Source organism: Homo sapiens, chromosome 3, assembly GCF_000001405.40.
Source record: "Homo sapiens chromosome 3, GRCh38.p14 Primary Assembly".
Classification (NCBI taxonomy): Eukaryota; Metazoa; Chordata; class Mammalia; order Primates; family Hominidae; genus Homo; species Homo sapiens.
The window spans coordinates 98,527,751-98,550,863 of NC_000003.12; the positions used below are offsets into that span (position 1 = coordinate 98,527,751).

A 23,113-nucleotide genomic window follows, 5' to 3' on the forward strand; every position below is an offset into this window, starting at 1 on the left:
CAAGTAACTGAGAATTTAAAAATAAAAATAAACTCCTAGAGTATAAACAGTATAATCGTTTTTCTTAAACTTAACTATTTGACTTTGCACTTTAAGAAATGGACAAGATAATGTATCTAACAAGTGAATATATAATGACACCGTTTGACTGATGAGATTAATGAGAAATAATTAGTTGCTTCATGCTCTTTGCCATTTATTCTGGGACATATCAGCAGAGCATGTGTGAATCAAAGGCTTCGTATCCAGGGATTTCTTTCTTCTGTGCTATATGCATGTAATCTGATGAGTCTCCACCTGATATGGTGGTTGACAGGGAAGAGGCCGAAGTAATATAATCATAAGTTCAATAAGCCTAATAGGGGTGGCTCTATTATTAAATCTTCAGCCTGCTTGTGAAGCAGAGGCTGCAAGCCACAGCAAATAATAATGGATTCACTCAAGCAGATGTTTCAGTAGAGAAAACCTTTCTCTGTCTTCATCTTCAACACCTGAACCAGTTCTGAGCATAACTCAGGAATTGGAACATAGAATAAGCAGGGCCTAGAAATCTAAATTAATTCCTCAAATTTTGTGATATTCAGACTAAAAGACTTCCACAAATTTCAAATTCTGAGGTAACTTTTAAGCCTTTTTTAAAAATTAGTCAAAATAATAACAAAGCATAATATATAATGTTGGTTAACTTATATAAATTAGAACAGTGATTCTAAACTTTAGTGTGTATAAGAATCACCTCGAATGCTTGTTAAATATAAAGTCCTAGACTTCTTCCCCAATGATTCTGACTGAGGACATCTAGAATAGGGTCTGGCAATCTACAGCTCAGCAGGTGTCCCTGATGACTCTAATCTGGGTAAAACGATCTGGCATCCACAGGTTCAAAACAATGGCTTTAAGAGTCCTAAAAGAACTTTAGTTGGGTAACTTCTGTATGCTAGAGGCCAGTCCAGAGATAATGAATGGACTCTGTCTTCAGGTTGCTCATTATCAGCTCCAGGGGTCAGATACAAAGACAACTAACAGTGTGAAAAGAGACAAGTACTTTGTAACCAGTATTTTTAAAGTTCTTAGGAAATACAAAGGAAGAAGCAGTTATTTCTGCCAGGAGTCATGGAGGAAAGTTGAGTGTTATTTTCTGAGAAAAAGAATTCCAAAGATGTGGCATATATGCTCTAATTCAGTTACTAATACTTATATATTATTCTTTTTTTTTTTGCCATCATTCTGTTTACATTGACTTTTCATATGTTTATGGAACCCAGTGTTGCTTTTGAGTTTTGATCTATGTGTAGGTTTCTATTTTATTGTTAGTATCTTCATGTTTATTTTAAAGAAAACTCAAAGTCCTAAAATTGACCGTTGCACCAGCTTATTTACAACCCCACTTTAGCCAGCTTTATTGTGGATTCTGTCTTGTACTAGCATTGTACTCTGAGGTACTAAAAGACTGGCACTATGCTATGTGAACGTTTTTGGCTTAAAACATTTAATTTGTTTTCTGATTTGGGTACAAAGATGCTGTTGATCCAAGGTGGGTATTCTCACATTGTAACATTCTACCATTAAATATCATACTTCAAGGTGGCCACATAATGATAAAGCAAACTATTTTATCTACAACTGCTTCAATAGTTTGCTGAGGAAATTGGATTTGAGATAGTTTACATCAGCGGTCCAGCAACTTTTGAAATTTGAAAAAAAAAATTTAAGGGATACAGAATGAATGTGCAGCCAAATATTTTCCTCTACAGTATGAGCATGAACTCTTTTTCCATTTTATAATACCTTTATGTTGAATTCTTGAGACATATCAAAGGATTAAAAAAAAGAAGAAAAACCGTAGACCCAGAATCAACCTTATTTTCTCAAATGCCAAAAGAACTTATGATTGTAGGGTACAAAATTCTAATATTAAAATTTCAGTACACTTAAAGAATATATATGATTAGTACTTTAACACACAGGCACACAGATATAGATGATATGTTTAAATATTCTATATTACCCTATTAATCTTTTTTGAGTAAATATTGTCCTACTTCAATTTTTGACAAAATGAATTATTCTATTAAATAATTAAAGCTTACCCAGTGGGAAAGATTTCTGTCCCAGAAATGTCAAAGCGGTTAATTAGTTTCTCTGATCTGTAGTCTATATTTAGTAAAGAATATGCCCTCCATGAAATTAAATGAATTGCGCACAGCAGCCAGGGACACAGGAGAAGGCAGGCTCAGGCCCACAAATCAACTCCAGAGTGACTTCTGGGACTGTCCCAGGTCAGAGGAGCCTTTATCCTTCCCTGACCTCAGCTTACTTGCCTAAGACTCAGGTGACACTAGACCATATCAGGAGGAAGAGGGAAGGAGGAAGTACAACCGGCAGGATGATTCTTTTTAATATACTAATTACTGAAGAAATAACAATTCAGTAGGGCCAGGCTTGGTGGCCCATGCCTGTAATCCCAGCATTCTGGGAAGCCAAGGCGGATAGATTGCTCGAGCTCAGGGGTTCCTGACCAGCCTGGGCAACATGGCGAAAACCCGTCTCTACAAAGAATACAAAAATTAGTCGGGCATGGTGGTGCATGCCTGTAGTCTTAGCTAGTCAGGAGGCTGGGGTGGGAGGATTGCATGGGCCTGGCAGTGAGCTGTGTTCAAGACACTGCACTCCAGCCTGGGTGACAAAGTGAGACCCTAGTGAGACCCTGTCTCAAAAATTAAACAAACAAACAAATGAAAAAACAACTTAAGAAAGGACTTCAAATGTTTAATGACTATATTTTCATCTACAAACATACATTTTTCTATGAATAGCAATATCAACCTGAAACTAGAATTCTGAAGATTAAATCAGATAGGAGAGAAGAATAGTGCAAGAGAGCCTTGAGTCACTTTGACCAGTAAAGAGCTGAAATAAATGGAGTCCGTTTCAAAATGTGTTATATTTTACTATGGTCATCATAATATAAAAGGAAACATATGAGAGAAAAATGTGATAGAATTCTTTCTGTTTTAGCCTGTTCCCCAAGTGTTTTAAATGTACTAAAAAATCTTCCCTTTTATAGTGTCCATGCTGGCACCTCCATCATGATGTCACTTATAGGTATATCTGTTGCCAGATCAGCAATCAGCAATTCCAAAAGTGATGTTCACCCATGTGTGGAGGTACCAGAAGGCCATGGCTCAGAAGCTAAAAAAATCAGTGCTACACAGGTGTGGTATAATGAAGAGAAGATCAGAGGGGATCCAGAGTCTGATGAAGCGTATTTGAGGGTTAATAGGGAGAAAATCTCCTAATCAATGATGTTAACTCTTAACAAAAGAGAACTTCACTGGTTGAATTACAATAGCAGATAGGAGGGTAAAAATAGCAACTTGAGATTGTTAAACCTGTGTTTGTAAGTTACATAAATAACAACAATACCTGAAGTTAGACCCCAATGAATTCATTTCTACTAGATATGCTGGATAACAAAAAGAATTTTCTGAATCAAACCTAATAAACTACAATTTCCAAAGCACCAACTATATGCAAGATGCTATGCAAGTTGTAGTGGAAAACTTAAAATAATAAGAGCAGAAAACGTGGTCCCAGTCTTTGGGGGGGGATTTTTAAAAACTTATGAAACAGGATTGACTACATGTCAAATGAAAGAGCCACATAGATGGGGAGACTCTCATGCCCTAAATGGAATCATGTTGTTTGACCTAGTTGTATACTGGTATGATTTGGGAAACTTTTCATTCACTCTTTACACAATGAAAGACTAGTTTTCTTCCTAGTTCGCCAACAAAGTAAATAAAAAGAATACATTATCATTGCCTTACAATTCTAAAAGCAGAACAATATCTTCTATGTGAAACAGAAGGCTAGATCAAAATAAATTTCAGTGTCAAAAGCAAAGGAGGTCTTTAAAGGAAGTGAAAAAATCAAGTTAATTCACTTCTTAATTACTGGCCTTAAAGAAATAAATTGAATATCTTGAAAAAATAACTCAAAAAGCACCTCAGTTTCACGAGCAAATGCAAATTAAAAAAACCACAACCACAACCAACCAACACCAATCAGAGTGGTGCTCCTTGTGTGCCCTTTCTGAGGATTGGTAGAAACTGCATTTTTTAATCTCGGCTTTCATGTTTGTCCAAGATCTTTAAAGGGAGGGGAAAAAAGAGAGAGAGAGGCAGGCACTGTATAAAAGAAGCTTCCTTGAGGTTTCTAAAATTTATACAAAAACATCATATGTAAGTAAACTCACCAGATTTGGCATCTGCTCTTTGGTGATGGACCCAGAAGAAACTTCAGTTTATTTGGATTATTACTATGCTACGAGCCCAAACTCTGACATCAGGGAGACCCACTCCCATGTTCCTTACACCTCTGTCTTCCTTCCAGTCTTTTACACAGCTGTGTTCCTGACTGGAGTGCTGGGGAACCTTGTTCTCATGGGAGCGTTGCATTTCAAACCCGGCAGCCGAAGACTGATCGACATCTTTATCATCAATCTGGCTGCCTCTGACTTCATTTTTCTTGTCACATTGCCTCTCTGGGTGGATAAAGAAGCATCTCTAGGACTGTGGAGGACGGGCTCCTTCCTGTGCAAAGGGAGCTCCTACATGATCTCCGTCAATATGCACTGCAGTGTCCTCCTGCTCACTTGCATGAGTGTTGACCGCTACCTGGCCATTGTGTGGCCAGTCGTATCCAGGAAATTCAGAAGGACAGACTGTGCATATGTAGTCTGTGCCAGCATCTGGTTTATCTCCTGCCTGCTGGGGTTGCCTACTCTTCTGTCCAGGGAGCTCACGCTGATTGATGATAAGCCATACTGTGCAGAGAAAAAGGCAACTCCAATTAAACTCATATGGTCCCTGGTGGCCTTAATTTTCACCTTTTTTGTCCCTTTGTTGAGCATTGTGACCTGCTACTGTTGCATTGCAAGGAAGCTGTGTGCCCATTACCAGCAATCAGGAAAGCACAACAAAAAGCTGAAGAAATCTATAAAGATCATCTTTATTGTCGTGGCAGCCTTTCTTGTCTCCTGGCTGCCCTTCAATACTTTCAAGTTCCTGGCCATTGTCTCTGGGTTGCGGCAAGAACACTATTTACCCTCAGCTATTCTTCAGCTTGGTATGGAGGTGAGTGGACCCTTGGCATTTGCCAACAGCTGTGTCAACCCTTTCATTTACTATATCTTCGACAGCTACATCCGCCGGGCCATTGTCCACTGCTTGTGCCCTTGCCTGAAAAACTATGACTTTGGGAGTAGCACTGAGACATCAGATAGTCACCTCACTAAGGCTCTCTCCACCTTCATTCATGCAGAAGATTTTGCCAGGAGGAGGAAGAGGTCTGTGTCACTCTAAAGGGAACTGTGACATTTCAAGCTCTGTTGGTGGGTTTAGGAGTTAATTTTTGTCAGCAACAAAGAAGGAAGTGTTAATGATAGGATTCACATTGCTTCATAGATGCAAGGAAGAGTTCATTTTTAAAGAGAGGACTGAAAAATCCCTGTGTTGTGGATATAATTAGGCCATGTGCTGTTTTCTCAGCTAAGCAGCCTTCTTCGACCCTTGCCAATCAAGTCCACCAGACAAAATCCAATTCCCATCTGTCCTTGAACTCCTGGATAAAGGCTCCTGCTTGAACCAGTCCCTTTCTTCATGATTGTTAATGCACATTTGGGCCTTTCCTCTCTCAAAAACCATGGTACCTTCATCCCCACCACCCTTCATACTGGGCTCTAAATTGGACTACATTTAAATGATTCTGCCTACTTTCATCTGATGAGAAATGCAGTAACAATGCAGGTAACAAAAATATAATATACCTGCACTGTGCAATTAATTGTTTCTGAGTTACTAAGCTAGATTCTGACCTCAATCTTTAAAGCTTTGTATCGTGATTCTTCATCATCTTCCAACATTGTGCTTCATCCTATGCCTATTCACAATGGCTTTGGACTGGCAAAAAAAAACTCATGGGGATTTTGTATTGTGTTTATGATTTGGGACTTACTTTATCATATGGTCTTCTAGTATTTTAATACATAAGCATATGGCAGGATTCAACATCTATTTGCTTTATAAGATATTGATAAAAATGTATCTCATTCATAATGGTGTAGCAACTACTTTTTAATGGGGTTTTACTATGCTCTTTTGTTTCCATTGGCTTTATAAATTAGGATTTGACTTTGCTTTAATTACATGTTTTTAATTACCCAGTTATCTAGTTATCAAATGAAAATGTTATTACTAATATAATTGGAACTCATAAAATGCTTAGCTGTACCCCGATGCAGATTATCATTTTGTATTTTAATTAAAATGTTAGTGCTACACATTCCCTATAGTATCATTTGCTTGGTGCCTATAATTTCAAGATAAGATCCAGTAATATAGGGAGACAGGCTGCTCTGTATTCAGCCAAAGTAGAAAATCTCTAACAAAGATCTCACTAGTATTTTATATATATTTTTTCCATACCCAGAAACCTTCTTGAATTCCTTTACCCAATAAATATTTATTGAGTCAATTTGTACCTATATTCCTTTTGAAGACTTTGATGTGAAAAACATGTAATTAGTGGCAACCACAAAAGACTCTGCAGCAGCAAGCATGCTATTGTAAACATCTTTTGATTCAAGGGAAAGCGGGTTATGTTTTTACCTCCACTGTTGACTTGAATGAATTACCATTTTACTTCTAAATATTAGATTTGAAAATCAGAAAAAACTTAGAATCCTTTCAAAGACTAGCCAATTTAATTTCATCTCATGTATCTTTCACATGAAGAGAAACCTCAAATATCGGACATCTCCTTGTAGCCTAATTAGAAGCTGAAAATACAGTTTTTGGTTTTATAAATTGGCTAACTTGTTAATTTTTCTTAAACTGTTATTAAATAAAAATATAATTTCCTTACATAAGTATTCTTCTGGACTGTATTAATTTCTAACAACATATTAATATTAATACTAATTCTAATAAACTTTTAGTAAATTATTATGGTTATAGAAGAAAAGACCATGTAAATAATAACAAATAAATATTCTTGGAAAACTTCAAAACTAAATTCAATGCAATTGAATAGATCTCCAAAAGTTAAACAAAAACAAAATACAGAAGGTAGAAGACACACATTTCTTTAAAACAAATCGGCAAAAGCACTGTTACTAATCATGAAACTTACTGCCTTTGAAAAATACTGCCTTTAAAAAATAGCTGAATCAATCAGCTAAGTTATTGGTTGGGAAAGCAGAAAACCTGTGCTATTAATTTTAGCTTCACCCTTAATGTTGTGATACTAGTAAGGTCATTTTAACCTTTCATACTTAAATGTAGTTGGTAATATCTATGTCTATAGAATTATCAAGGATACTGTAAAAATAATAAATATAAATAAAGTTTTAAATGTGGAGTAAAAAGTTACTTTATAAAGTGATTTGATTTCTATTATTAATTATTGACTACTCCTTACAAATTTTCAAACTAACATCAAATAATACTTAATCATTCTCATTTTTAAAATATTGAGATTTTATTTCTACTTCTTCACTTTAATTTTGCTGAGAATATTTAAAATAACACCAAATAAAAATATGTATTATTGGTTTTTTAGTACTTTAAATAGATATAATAATTGTAGGCTTTAATAAAATCTTAGTTTATTTTACATTCATAATGTACCAGTTGTGAAAGAAAAAAATAGATATAATTTTATAGGTAGTACAACTCTAATAGAAAAAAGTTCAAAGCTTGATTAAGTTCACATGTTATTTTGTCATATATGGATTCTGCTGGTATGAAATGTAATTTACATTATAATAGCATTAAAAAGTTTATTACAAATTAGTTGTCTGACATTTTGCATATTTTTAAAATCATAGGCTGGGTGCAGTGGCTCACGCCTGTAATCCTAGCACTTTGGGAGGCCGAGGCAGGTGGATCACAAGGTCAGGAGTTCAAGACCAGCCTGACCAACATAGTGAAACCCCGTCTCTACTAAAAATACAAAAAATTAGCAGGGCATGGTGGCAGGCACCTATAATCCCAGCTACTCAGGAGGCTGAGGCAAGAGAATCGCTTGAACCCAGGAAATGGAGGTTGCAGTGAGCCAAGATTGCACCATTGCACTCCAGCCCAGGTGACAGTGCTAGACTCTGTCTCAAAAATAATAATAATAATAATAATAAAATTTCTTCATTTTTAATTTGAACAATTTCTATTTCTATACTTACGTAGATATTCTACATATACATATACATTCAGATATACATAGAATCACAGACTCATATTTATACCTTTTCATTATTTTTATTACCTGAATTAAACTAGCCTAAAGGCTAGTTTGTGATAATTTAATGTCATTAAAGAACAAATCAATACATTGCCAAGAATTTCCAGAAAATTACTCTTTCATCCTAACACAATCATGCCTTGCCAGTTATATCCAAAGTTAGGAAAACAAAATAAAATTTTTACAATTCAGAGTAATACACAAGGAAATCACTACAGATTAACATTATTTGTTGTCATTTGCATAAGTAGTCCAAAGTTACTCGGAGGATGTAAATGACAAATATAAAAGGATAGTGACCTCTCAAGCATTTCTCAAATAGCTTTTTGAAACTTACCCCAGAAAAGCTCTCCATTAAATCCTAGGTAATGTGTTGTCTGATACTTTATAATTAATTTTAAAAGAAATGTAATCAAGACACGCATAGTCGCAAACATAGTCCCAAACACATTTACTCCATTTGGGTTGTATTGAAAGGTTGAAACTAACCTGATATTCCTGGGAGTCCCTTAACCTGTCCACTCTTAACAAGTCAAAATCACTTCTGTAGTGAAAAGTTTTAACAGCAGTCTTAAAGGGAAGCTATGTGCGTGACTGAGAACCGACCATTACTAGGGGTCACAAGTTAATTTTTAAATAGATGCATAAATGCACAGTATGGTGGTAAGGTGAGTGGAAAAAAATCTTCCTCTGTGATTCATCTTGACTCCTCAAATCACTCTCTATTCTACCTAGCGATCTCAGAAGAGAGAAATGACTTGTCATATGTGCATGCCACAAAGAACCTGTTTTCCTGCAGAGCTCATTCATAAAAGCTGAGCAAAACTAAAAGAATTACAAATTTGCTTCTAAAACCAGACCATTGGTGTAACCTGCCAGCAAGATAATGGCTCCAGCCCCATTAGAGAAAGAGGTGCCATAGGAGAAAAAGCAAGAGGGTAATTTTAACTACCAAAATATTTGCGAACAGTTACTGACTACTGCGAGTTCCTTTTGTCTTTCACGGAGTTTGATGTTGATTGGATTTTCCCCTGCAAATGCCGGTTATTATTTAAAGCTTTTTTTTTTGAGCCAATATTCTTTGTTTTTATCAATTTTAGAAGTAAACGATTACGACTAGACTTTACGTATAAGTGTACAGGGAAAAACAACTGTGCCACTGACTTGATTTTATATTGCAAATGTAAAAATCCACCCTAGGGCGAGTTACACTCATTGGTTCTTGCTATCTTTGTCATTTCCTTAATAGAGCTATATTTCCTAAACATATATGACAAGTGCAAATTGCATCCTAAGATAAACCTACAGCATTAAAAACAAAATCCAAAACAAAAAAAACCCTACTTTAAATATCCAAAGTATCAAACTATTCATAAAGGTTCTTATGACAAGGTAAATGGTAGTGAAATGTAAATTTACATAAAATGTTCATTGTTCATCTAAAAGTAGGGGGAAAGTATTCTGCTAGTTGAGCAGACATTATTAAACTAAAAAATTTCTGGTTTATATACATAAGCACCAAATTTCTAAGATCCAAAGGTACTTTCAAATCACAATGAAACTTTCTGAGTTAGCTGCATATGCTTAAGGATCTACGATAAAATATTCACATTATTATTAAAATTATCTGCCAACCTAGTAAAAGATGTTCATCAATTTGATATTATTCGGTGATTTTTCTTATTTGCTAATTAAATATATGTAATAATTAACTAGTTTTCTAACACTTCCATGTTAGAGAGAGTTAAACATCATCTATGAGTATCTCATGTTTGTCAACATTGATAGGAAATTTAGCATTTTTACTTGCTAGGTCCTATCAATTCTTTTTTTTTTTTTTTTTTTTTTTTGAGACGGAGTCTTGCTCTGTCGCCCAGGCTGGAGTGCAGTGGCGCGATCTCGGCTCCCTGCAAGCTCCGCCTCCCAGGTTCACGCCATTCTCCTGCCTCAGCCTCCCGAGCAGCTGGGGCTACAGGAGCCCGCCACCACGCCCGGCTAATTTTTTTTCGTATTTTTAGTAGAGACGGGGTTTCACCGTGTTAGCCAGGATGATCTCAATCTCCTGACCTTGTGATCCGCCCGCCTCGGCCTCCCAAAGTGCTGGGATTACAGGCTTGAGCCACCGCGCCCGGCCCTATCAATTCTGATTTAAAATATTTTATTTCTGTGTTTCTATTAGCTCAAAATAAAACAAAAAAGTGCTCCTGCCTAGCATATTTGTGACCTGTATACTATAAATGCACTCTTTTGTTTGCTCTTAATTATATACAAAACAGGAGATATAAACTACTATTGTGATGTTTATTCAGAAATTAAAATTTTATGCATCAAAAATTACATATGACTGGAGACTTTATTTTTAATTTAAAAAAATCTGTGGCAAAGTCTTCAGCAAGCAATACTGCTCTTTTCCTTACAGAGTATATATAGACCCTTTGTATTTCATAACCATCCATTGTAAAACCTTCACAAATCCCTAAATTTGCCAACTCCAATATAGCATATAATCTACTTCATACAAATTGAATAAAATGTAATGTTTTCAGAGCTATTGCAAAATGTATAAAAAGAAAAGTTGAAAGGAGATATCTATCCTAAGTGTTTGGCCTGACTCACTAGTTAAGTGACTCATTCCGCATCACCTCATAGGTCAGTGGTTTAAATGTCTGCTTTTTATGTCATACAACTGTGGAGTTTCAGTCAAAATCTCAAACATCAAACTGTGAATGCAAAATGTCTATCGTACACAATACACTATGACAACCATAAAAATTGTTAAATCTTTTTATTGTAACTGGTGGATTCTAAAACAGGCATATTGCAGTTACACATTCACAAAATATCTTTTTTCTCTTTTTTTTTTTTTTTTTTTTTTTTTGAGATGGAGTCTCACTCATTCTGTCATCCAGGTTGGAGTGCAGAGGCACGATCTTGACTCACTGCAACCTCCGCCTCCAGGATTCAAGTGATTCTCCTGCCTCAGCCTCCCGAGTAGCTGGATTACAGGCATGCGCCACTATGCTAGGCTCCTTTTTTTTTTTTTTTTTTTTTGGTATTTTTAGCAGATATGGAGTTTCACCATTTTGGCCAGGCTGGTCTCAAACTCCTGACCTCAAGTGATCCGCCCACCTTGGCCTCCCAAAGTTCTGGGATTACAGGCATGAGCCACTGCACCCAGCCTCTTTCTTTCTCTTATACACATACACAAACACACAAACATACTGTATACAGTTGCAGCTGAAAAGCATCTGTTGAATGTTGCTGTTAATATTCAGACTGAAGTACTTGAGATGAATTTAACTATTTTATCCACTAACAAAATACAGAATACAAGAAAGGAGAAAATAAAGCAAAGAAAAAGCATAGTAAATAAAGAACACAAAATAAAATGGCATATGTATGCATAAATATATCAGCAATTACAAAAAGCATATAAATGGATTGAAATTTCTACTAAAGAGTTGAACATGGCTGGACATAGTGGCTCAGGCCTGTAATCCCAGTACTTTGGGAGGCCGAGATGGGAGGATCACTCGAGGCTAAGAGTTTGAGACCAGCCTGGTCAACATAGTGAGACCCCATCTCTACGTAAAAAAAAAAAAAAAAAAAGTTGAGGCGGGGCGTGATGGCTCACGCCTATAATCCCAGCATTTTGGGAGGCCAAGGCAGGTGGATCACCTGAGGCCACGAGTTCCAGATCAGCCTGACCAACAAGGAGAAACCCCCTGTCTCTACTAAAAATACAAAATTAGCTGGGCATGGTGCCAAATGCCTGTAATCCCAGCTACTCGGGAGGCTGAGGCAGGAGAATTGCTTGAAGCCGGGAGGTGGAGGTTGCAGTGAGCTGAGATCACACCATCGCACTCCAGCCTGGGCAACAAGAGCGAAATTCCATCTCAAAAAAAAAAAAAAGGTTGAACAAATATATATATATATATATTTGTATTTGTTCACAATAAATATATATAGTGATATATGTATATCACTTTATTCGACTCTATAGGAGTTAAAAAGGTAGAAGCAGAACTTGTTTTTCATGGAGTTTAGAATCCACATAGTTGTTTATTTTTTTTAATCAAAGAATGAAATAGTGACACCCAAGAAGAGCCCGGTATATGCAATGAAAATTACAAGTCAAATAACTTTCCTTGGTCTTTTCCAATGTTTAGGAGAAGCCCATACTTAGTCCATATACAAGTCACTTATGTAATTGTCATTTTGATATGGTTATTTCCTAAACATTGTTACATTTCCTTAAAGTGTTCACATTAGCATCCTCAAATGAAAATGCTATCATTGTCTTTATAGATGTTAAGACTCTCGAGTCTTAAAAATCTTTAAGACTTTAAACGTATAGACTCATTATTTTAAACACAAGAACACATCTTGAACAGTATTAGGTTTAAATTTATTTCCAAATGACAAACTAAAAAAAAGTATGCAAAGCAAAGTAGATAACTTTACATGAACCTTGCCCAGCACAGTGATTTAATGAGATGCCCTTTCATTTGGCCTTGAGTTAGAGCAAAAGCAAAACTGACAACTCAGGTGGAGAAGTGGTAAATGAGAAACGAAACTTGGCCTGTGGTTTCATGTTTAAAGCAAAAATACAGATTCAGAGCACTTGAAGATAGATGAGAATGGCTACCTTATTTCTAATAAAAAAGATGTTTATGCAATTCAGACCTGACTTGTGTATGTTAATAGAAATAGCTTAAAAATCGGAAAATCAGTAAAGAATTGAGTAAAAGTCAATTCAGAACTGTATAACTTAGTCCTCAGGATTTCAAATCAATGTGTCTTTCCTATAATAATTCAAACATAGAAAAGAATACTGCCAAAAAGTTTGTAAATTTATATTTAGCATGATACATAATATTAAAAAAAACAAAATATGGTTTTACCTATTAAACTGACAAAGAGTGAAACATTAAATACTAAGGTTGACCAGGATTGGGTCTGCGGGTGTGAGGGAAGCTTATTGAGTGTAAATTGATTAAGCTTTGTAGAAAAAATTTAGAAACCTATATCAAAAGCAATTCCACTTCCAAGATTTTGCCCTAAAAAATCATTACGGCCAGGTGAAAAGACATATGCACATGTATTTTTATTGCAGCATTGTTCATAAAAGCAGGAAAGTGAAAACAATCCAAATGTCCAAATTGACTGAGTAAATTAAAATTCATGCACTTTCTTACAATGGAATACTATGCAGCCTTTAAAAATACTGTACCATATACTGAAGTGGAAAGACCTTAATAATAAATCCAATGAAATTAAGTGAAAAAAGCAGACTACAAAACTATATCTATAGGATGACCACATTATTTGTGACTATTTTATTCATATATGAATGCAAAAATACTGGAACCCTATACAGCAAAATGTTAACTTTGTGAAGTTACAAGTGATTTTTATATTTATTATTACTTGTATTTTCCAAAAAAAAATGCATTAATTTTGTAGTAATAAAAAAAGCTAAAATTTAGTTTAGGCTTTCAATGAAGTACCCAAGATAAAAATAGTAGCTAAATTTATTATAAAACATCATTTCTGAGTTGTAGGTCCTCTAGTTTTTCAATTACTGTGTTTCTGATCTGTGAGTATAATCCCTACATTGGCCTTGAGACCTCCCCTAGTAATCATCTGTTTCTTTCTAGGATGACCCGCTGTTTCCTTTACAAGTACCCAATTCCTTAAAAGCAACAGTTTTAGAACTGCTATGCATTTAAAATTTGAAAATGGTGATGAACATTTCAGCATGCAGGCAGGACCTTTATTCTCCCATAATGTCTCTTAGCACAGCAACTATTGCATCCTGCATAGTGACTCATCTGGTGCCATGTCTGTCCACCAGGTAGGAAGAGAGCTCCCTCCACCCTGGGGATGGGGGAAGAGAAGAAGCCACATCTTCATTTTTTGTAGCCATATGCTTGGCTTCTTCCATATCAAGCACTCATCATTGTTGAACTAAACTGAACATGCTAGAAAAATCTCACCATTGATTAAAATAAAAATGAAAAACATTTAAAATGTTAAATATTAAATTTTTATATTCATACTTTTGCTTGAATGTCTTTTGTTTATGATATGCTGTAACTATGAGGGACAGGGAGTCTATTACAGTCATCAGGAGCAATCTTGCCACTGTCCTTTAACTTTTTTGATCATTCCAGCTGTACTTGAGTAGAGAAATAACTGATGCAATATCCTTTACTTCAGCCCTTTCTTGGTGTAACATTGATTTTCTATTTAAATGGAAAACTTTTCTGAATTCAGGTCCAATATGCCTAGTATTGGACCAAAAATAGTGATTTCTAATCACTGTGTGATAGTCAGGAGTTCCACCGGCTATTGCCAGGGTATTATAAATCTTTCCACAAACTCCAAACCTATATTCCACATTAGATAATAAGTAACTTATGTGACTATGCACTTTTGAGAGAGACTGAGAGTGGGATTATGAAGTCAAACAATTGATCAGAAGATAACTTCTATAAAGGCTGTTGCTCTGTTTTGGCTCAGCCCCACTGCTCCAGAAGGTACACGCCATAAGCTTTGGCAATGCCCGTGTGGTATTTAGTCTGTAAGCATGAAGAATGCAAGAGCTGTGAGGCATGACTGCCTCCATTTAGGTTTCAAAGTGTAATGCCTGGTGGAGCTGTGGAAGTGTAGTGACCCCCAAGATTACAGAACTATAGGATACCAGTGTGAAACTCCAGCTTGGGACAGCTAAAGCATGGACTGAGCCCAGCAAAGTCATAGGGACAGGGCTGTCAGAGGCCTTGGGAGCCCAACTCCCACCTCAGTGTGCCCCGGATGCAGGACATGGAGCCAAAGGAGACTATTCTCTAAATTTAAGACTTAATGTTGCTTTCCCTGAAGGGTTTTGGACTTGCTTGGGACCAGTTACCCCTTCTTTCCTGCTTCTCTCTTTTGGAATGGAAATGTCTATTCTATGCCTATCTCACCATTGTGTCGGATCTCACCATTGTATCGTGGAAGTAGATTACTTGTTTTCATTTCACAGGCTCACAGCTGGAGAGTATTAGCCTCAAGATAAATTGTAGGTTGAGTGTCTGATTTAGATGAGACTTTTGAGTTGATGCCAGAATGAGTTAAGACTTTGAGGGCTATCAAGATGGAATGAATGTATTTTGCACATAAGAATAAGATGAATTTTGGGGCAACAGGGATGAAGTGCTGTGGTTTAAGTGTCCCTGCCAAAACTCATGTTGAAATTTAATTGCCACTGTGACAGTGTTGAGAGGTGGGACCTTTAGGAGGTGATTGGGTCGGGGCTCCACCCTATGAATGAATTAAGGCCATTATTATGGGAATAGGTTAGTTATCATGGGACTTTGGCTGTCTGTTTCCCTTTCTTTTGCCCTTCCACCTTCTGCTCTTCAGTCATGGGATGACCCTCAGCAGATACCAGCACCATGCTCTTGGATTTCCCAGCTTCCAGAACCATGAGCCAAACAAACTTCTTTGGTTTATAAATTACCTAATCTGTGATATTCTGTTATAGCAGCAGAAAATGAAATAAGACAGATGTCAAAATGCTATTCTGACTAATTTTCCATTGCTGGCACTTCCTAAAAAGAACAGAGTTATCTCAACTATCATGATATAAAATGTTTAAATCATCAATTTATAATTTTTGTTATGACTTAACTGTTACCATTGGGAGGGTAAGATAGCATTGTGGTTAAAGAACACTGACAGAACTGAATTTGCCATTTATTAGCTATGGAAGATGAGCAAGTTTCATAACTTTCCTGAGCCTGATTTCTCTCTATAAAATAGGAACAATTATACTTGCTTTAGAAAACAGTAGTACCTCTAATTAATTAAGATGAAAATGTAAGGAATTCAGAAAATTACCTGGTACATACTAAGAGTTTAATAAATGATAGTTGAGGAAACATTCCCATTTTATAGATGAAGAAAATAGCCCTCAGAGGAATCGTTTCACATAATTATTAATGTAATGAACCAGAAATGAAACCCCAATTTCAGTTAAGCTCAGACCTACGTAATCGCAAAGCTCATGGCCTTTCCACTTCACTGTATTCTTTCCTGATTCCCAGATTTTCTCTTTCTCTCTCTCCCCACTACCTTTGCCTAATTGCAATAATTTTCACTCAAATTATTTTTCTTATTTTTTCCAAAGCAAATATCTCAAATAAACAAATCCTTTGCCTATTCACAATTAATACTAAAAAAAGATGTTTCTTGAGGGAAGAGGAAGTCCATTTTATTAAAAATATAACTTTTTCTAAAAACTGTAACATGTTTTCTTTTCTGTTATATAATCTCTTAATTGTGATCTATCACAAATGGCATTTTCTATCCTACTGATGGCCACTTGAAGCCTGTAATTGATTCAAAAGTATGTTGCACATAGGAAATGGACAGTTATCTATTTTGCTCAATGTAACACCCAAGTCCACACTAAAGCACAAATGCTATGACACCTATGACAGTGTCCTTCACCAGAAAATGTTTTTTAGAAAGAGTAGATATGGCTTGAACCTGGGAGGCGAAGGCTGCAGTTAGCCAAGATTGTGTCACTGCACTCCAGCCTGGGCAGCAGAGCAACAGCCCGTCTCAAAAAAATTAAAACCAAAAAAATGGTAGATATGTACTAAATTCTATTATCTCATTTTCTCTATCCCTTAAAATTTTTCTGGTCACAGATTTCTTATATATCTATGGCGACAAAGAAAGAAAAGTAAATGTAATCCCAAATCTCACGCTCTAGATTTTGTGCCTGTGACATATGGAACCTAAACTGACATTAGGAATTTAAACTTTTACCATCTTCTTTATTAAATGTTACTTGTTAAGACAATGAGTTGCCTTGGGCCACGTGCAGAAGAAATTTGGTAGACAATGCCCTTGTCTTTCGGGAACTTCATTTACACTTTTGGAAGGCACATTTGTGTTAATAATTTCCTCGTTTTAATAGCAACTCCCAATTGTAGTTTTAAGAGATAAGGGTTTCTCTATGTAGTATATTATAAACTGCCCCAAACATAGAAACTTGATTTAAAGTTTCTTTAAGTAAGAAACAACATTTTCTGTGTATCACTTTTAAGAGAAGTTAAGGATGTTATGAGGTAAAATAATGAGTTAATAATCATTGACCCACAACCAAAGAGAAAAATTAAACATAATTTTGAATAAAAGAACATGATACCAGAGTATTAATCCTAACATTTATTTTTAACATTAAGGAGTAATTATCCCAGCTTACTTTATTTAGGAAATATATTAAAATGTTAACAATGGCTGTTCTAGGTAGTAGAACCAAGGGCAAATTTATTTTTATCCTTAATTTGTTTTTCTTCATATTTTTCTGAATATTTTACATGTTCTATAATGAGTATGTACTTTTTTAAAATGTTAAAATAAAGGATGCTGAAATAAATGTCATGCATCACATAAAACAAATATTATTTTATTATATATTTATCTATTATATAAAATATAAATATAATATTTATTTTGTATATTTATTATATTACAATAATATGTACAAGTTTTGCCTTTTCCTTCAAAGTCAAAATAAGAATTTTTAAATGTCATGTCCAATTTTAAGTTTAACATCCATGACTTTGATATAATTTAAGTTCTGAAAAAATGATGTAAATTAAAGCTCAATCAAATAATATTTGTTCTCATATCAAACAGCAAATCATTGTTTTGATTCAAAGCTTCAATTTTACTTTTACTAAATTGACTTGTCTGTTAAATCAAAGGTCAATTTAATTTGTTTATGTAGACACAACTTCTATTTTATTTTAAAATATTTCAACTTTTAAATTAAGTGTAAATTAGAATTGGTTGGACAGAATAATACTTTGAGTTTTACTGTTTTTTCCAAATGTTCTATTCTAAAATATTTGCAAAGAGCATGATATTTTATAAAACTACAAAGATTTTTAAAGTAAAATATTTCTAGAATAAAATTTGTATTTAAGCAGACATAAGAAGAAAATGTTGACTCTGAGTGCTTTCGCTTTCCCTCGGGTTTACCTAGAAAGTTTTCTAGCTTCAAGGATGTCTGAAGATTGCTCACTAAGCAGTCAAGGAAGGAGAACCACTAGTCTGACATCAATTTTCCATTATAACGGTACAGCTTTGTTACAAGAAAAATGCACAGGGCAGATGACTTGCACCGAGTATCTACAATTCTCATTGCAATGATTTCTAAAAATTGAAATTAAAAACAAAACCTATGTTTATGGAGTATTTATTTAGCACCCGGGAACTGTTAAATCATTCACATATATTATCTCAATTGAATTCACAAAACAACTTGTGAAAAACAATCTGGGTACCCAGTTCTCCTCCCTTTCCTTTTTTCTCCCCATGCAAATCAGACCTCAGTCTGAGGGTTCTCCCATGTCTTCTAGCTCCCTTCCCCAATTCTTGCCTAATCCCATTTTGGGGTCTTCTGTGCAAACCTGAGCTAACATATATAGAACAATTTTTTTTTCTGAGAGAATATAAATTTTCTGAAGGTTCAAACATCTTTTTGAGAAATGCTTTCAAGTATGGCAAAGACATAGCATACTATACAACGGAATGATAAGTGTTTTCTACATTTTCATGCTACTAAAGTCATATATTAAGCAAAGTAGAGAATTGTAAAAATGTGCCCCTAATGTGTCTCTTGGTTAACTGGCTTTATAAAATAATCCTCAATGACTTCTTAGGCTGTATAGGTAGTAATTTTTAATACTATAAATATGACTAATATCATTACTATTACTAGTGTTTATTTTTTAAATAAACACTAGTTTAAAGTTATTGAGTTTTCCACTATTTCCAAACTTTTTTTCCTATTTCCCTGGAAAATTACAATGAGGAATGCCTTAAAAATAATGAGCTGGGGCCGGCCACGGTGGCTCACACCTGTAATCCCAGCACTTTGGGAGGCTGAGGCAGGCGGATCACCTGAGGTCAGGAGTTTGAGACCAGCCTGGCCAACATGGCGAAACCCCGTCTCTAATAAAAAAAAAAAAAAATACAAAAATGAGCCAGGTGTGGTGGCTGGCACCTGTAATCACAGCTACTAGGGAGGCTGAGGCAGGAGAATCGCTTGAAACCGGGAGGCAGAGGTTGCAGTGAGCCAAGATCACACCATTGCATTGCAGCCTGGGCGACAAGAGTGAAACTCCATCTCGATAATAATAATGATAACGATAATAATAATAATAATGAGCTGGGTACAGTGGCGTGTCTGTAGTCCCAGTTACTAGGGAGGCTGAAAGCAGGAGGATTGCATGAGCTAGGAGTTCAAGATCAGCCTGGGCAACATAGCTAGTTCCCCTTACTAAGAAAAAAAAAGGAGGGTAAAGTAAAAAAATATACAATATGATAGTGTGATAGAGTGGAAAACATAAAGGCTTTAAAATTAGAAAAACTGAGTTTGAAACCATAACAGCCTACCACTAGCAAAGTCTGTGAGACCTTCGACAAGTTATTAACATTTTTCTCCTTCAGTTTTCTTATCTGTAAAATGAAAATAACATTATTTAACTTGGGGTTATTGAAAACTCAGTAAGTGAGGCGACTTATGTCGGTCTTACAAGTAATGTTTGTTTTTATTTTATATTCTTTTTTGGCCCTGTATGCACTGAGACAGATCTATAAATATTCAAAAATGAATTTTGATTTAAAGATAATTTAATTTAATTGCGGAGACAATGTTTATCAAGCTGTTGTTGGAGGAATGTATATAAACTCTATATAACATACATTAGGCATGATATATACTTACCCACATATGCAGACCTATTAGAACCACAGCACTCATCTGTGACTAATAAATTTATTTTAGCCTCTGGGCAACAAACTTTATAAATTATATTTCAGAACTATTTTTGTAAAAAGCATTATGAACGCATTTTATCTATATCCAGTGCTATAAGAGAAAACACATTTAGAAAGATAAGATCATTCATCCCTATACCTGTGGCTCTTTTCCCTTAGAAGTTTCTCTTAGTAAAGTTTTTCATCTGAGTTGATTAATGTAGATGTGTATATACATACAACTATATCAAAAATTATATATAAAGAGAAGGAGGGGGACTTAGGGATCTACTTAGCCACCGGTTTTGCTCTGAAGATAGGAGAAAATGCTAGCTTTAGACAAGAAGTTCTCTCTTCAAAGGTCAAGAGCTTTTCTTAATTTTGATAGCTCTGGCAACTTGTTCAGAAAAATCCACAAGTCTAGATCTGCAAATGCTTGAAATGCTCCATCGGACAGACCAAAAATTCAGAATACTACAAACACTCACGTCTCTGCAGAAAAAGATAATCTATATTACTCTTTCCTCTTGCCTATAATTTTAGTGCCTGCAACCCTGCCCTCTGGGACGATCAACTGATTTGGGCGAGATGGGTAAAGGAGGACAAAGAAAGGGGAGGGAGGGAGGAAACAGCATCATCATTGTCGCTGATTTCCCATTTATTTTAGTAAAAAAATTTGTCCTCTGAGGTTTTTGTATCTAAGATGACAAGCCAGGTAAAAACCTAAGAGATTGGGTAGACTTCTCAGGAAGTGTTATAGTAGCAGGTGAAACCCTGGAGAAAAACCCATACCTGTGAGGGCATTTGAACCTGTCGGGGTGGGGAAGTGGGAATGACCTGTGTCTACTACTCCCTTCCTCTCTCTCCATCCTTGGGTAACCTGGCCAACGGCAGCTGCCGGAAATGAATGACTTCAGCCACTGAACCATCCTTAGGCGAATGAATGGCTTCCATCTTAACTCTAATTTTCCTTTAGCCAATTCTGTTTTTGTGCCTCCTGAGTTCTCGTTAAGGTCAAAACAACATTAGTGGTTTTTAAGGTGTTAAGTTGGTTGTCTTTTTCTCACATTTTACAAGCAAAACACAGAAAATGAGAAACAACAAGAAATCCCTCATGGTCTTAAAAACAATCTATTTGAAAATTTCAGCATGCAGATCCAGTTAAATTTAAATTCAGTTAAATTTAACGTGCCAAATTTCAAATGGAAATTTGGTTCTCTGCATTTTAAAATGTGTAACAACTGCTTACGATATTCTATTTGAAACATATCACAATGTACATGATAGAATTAAAGGGTCATTTATATAAATTGTTATAGACTACAACACAAACATTGTTTTCAGAGGAATTCTTAAAATCATCTAATCCAATCCACTCATTTTTAAAATGAGAAAACTAAGAGAAATGGAGAGTCTATTCAGAAGCAAAATCACATTGTGGTTTTAAAAAAAAATTCAGCTGGCACACATGGGTACAAGTATAAAGGTTGTTAAAATATATTGATATATTTCTGCTTCAGTTGGTAAATTGCCACTGCCCTGTGTCCTCTGAGTGCCCCACTCTATCATGGTCTTCTGTCACCTTCCCTAGTAGCTTTTGGACACTTCAATATAGCAACTAAGGAGTTAACACCTTGCAAACAAGAGACCCTTGGGAGCCAGGCTTCTCCACTGAAAGCCAGGTCCTTTCAGATTGGTTGATTGCATAAACATGCAGACAGATAAATAGTTTTTGGTATCTCCCCTGCATGCAGTCAATGGCAGAAATTTAAATAATCAACGGTGGTGGAAACTTGACAGTTGACCCAGCATCCATTCTCATGCTTTCATTTTTCTCAAAATAATTCAGGACTCTTATGCCTAGGCAGTCATCTATCTGGTCTTTCTCATGCAGCTCTTGTGTTTTTGTAAAAGTTGAACCCACTCTTAGCCTCCTGGCAAAGCCTTGATAGACTTCACTATAAGGTGGGCATGTGACCAACCAACCAGGCTGTTTGGAATGCCAAGACAGCATTGCTCTCTCTTTCTCTGTGCCCTATTGAAGCCACCCTATGAAACAAGAGAGCCAGACTTAGAATAAAGTTTACATGGTTGACTGTAAAAAGAAAAGACAAAGTCAAAACTAAGCAAAATGAAACAAAACAAAACATAAAAATGGAGTCCTTGTTGGCATGACTGAGCTTCTAGATTAACCAGCCTACACCTGAGCCTTCCAAGTAACTGAACCTGTACACTTCTTTTGTTATTTAAGCCTGTTTGAGTTGAATTTTCTTTTACCTGAAATCCTAAAGGACTTACCTTATAAACTAGTTCCCCACCAAAGCTTTGCCAAGATTCTCTAATACAATCCTTTAGTTATATGATAAGGTAAAATTTCCCTAAATATGTTCTGAAAAGTACTAATTCCAAGAGAAATTAATAATTATGGTCCTGAAGAGGAACAGCTCAATAAACAGAGTTAGACAGACAGACCTGGATTATTTAACAAAGATTTGTGGTATACGCAAAACATAATTTTTATTTATTATTCCCATTCTAACCTTTTAAAATTTATTCATTAGGGCACTCTTCTTCTGCCCTTGCCTGAAGAATTTGGCAGGTCCATTGACTTTTCTTCTTACTCTTTGGGAAGAGCTTTGAAGCATAAAACACAGTGTCAATTTCGTTCTTTCCTTCCTCTCACTATTCACCTACTCACCAGCTGCTCAAAGAAAGGTGGAGTGGGGGTAAGGTTACCAGATTTAGTCAATAGAAATACAAGATGCCTAGTTAAATTTGAATTTAAATGAATAGTAAATGATTTTTTAGTATAAGTATGTCCCAAAGATTATTTGTCCATCTGAAATTCAAATCTAACTGAGCCTTATATTCTTTCTGATAACCTTAGGTGAGGCAGAGAGGAAAGGTAGGGGGATTTGGTTTGTTGAGCAACTTCCTGTTCTTTGGGCATGGCAGATAGCGAAGGTTATGCAGTTGAGCCAATTTT

The 23,113-nt window shown here is 35.6% G+C and overlaps 1 protein-coding gene across 1 annotated transcript, besides 3 other annotated features; it reads left to right on the forward strand.

Moving 5' to 3' along the window:
- Positions 615–1,158: an enhancer, noted in NCBI's record as "NANOG hESC enhancer chr3:98247209-98247752 (GRCh37/hg19 assembly coordinates)". NCBI's record gives its function as "activates a minimal SCP1, AML or CMV promoter by ChIP-STARR-seq in naive H9 embryonic stem cells {active_cell/tissue: H9 hESC(naive)}" and the evidence as "EXISTENCE:reporter gene assay evidence [ECO:0000049][PMID:30033119]".
- Positions 4,089–4,248: a silencer, noted in NCBI's record as "silent region_14557". NCBI's record gives its function as "represses an Ori minimal core promoter by ATAC-STARR-seq in GM12878 lymphoblastoid cells {active_cell/tissue: GM12878}" and the evidence as "EXISTENCE:reporter gene assay evidence [ECO:0000049][PMID:35858748]".
- Positions 4,228–6,931, forward strand: GPR15 (G protein-coupled receptor 15). Its single transcript, NM_005290.4, has one exon. The coding sequence runs from the start codon at positions 4,284–4,286 to the stop codon at positions 5,364–5,366; it is 1,083 nt and encodes a 360-aa protein (NP_005281.1). The 5' UTR covers positions 4,228–4,283; the 3' UTR covers positions 5,367–6,931.
- Positions 18,424–18,473: a silencer, noted in NCBI's record as "silent region_14558". NCBI's record gives its function as "represses an Ori minimal core promoter by ATAC-STARR-seq in GM12878 lymphoblastoid cells {active_cell/tissue: GM12878}" and the evidence as "EXISTENCE:reporter gene assay evidence [ECO:0000049][PMID:35858748]".

Excerpts from the sequence above, each read along its gene's own strand:
- GPR15 (NM_005290.4), top strand. The coding sequence starts at position 4,284 with ATGGACCCAGAAGAAACTTCAGTTTATTTGGATTATTACTATGCTACG.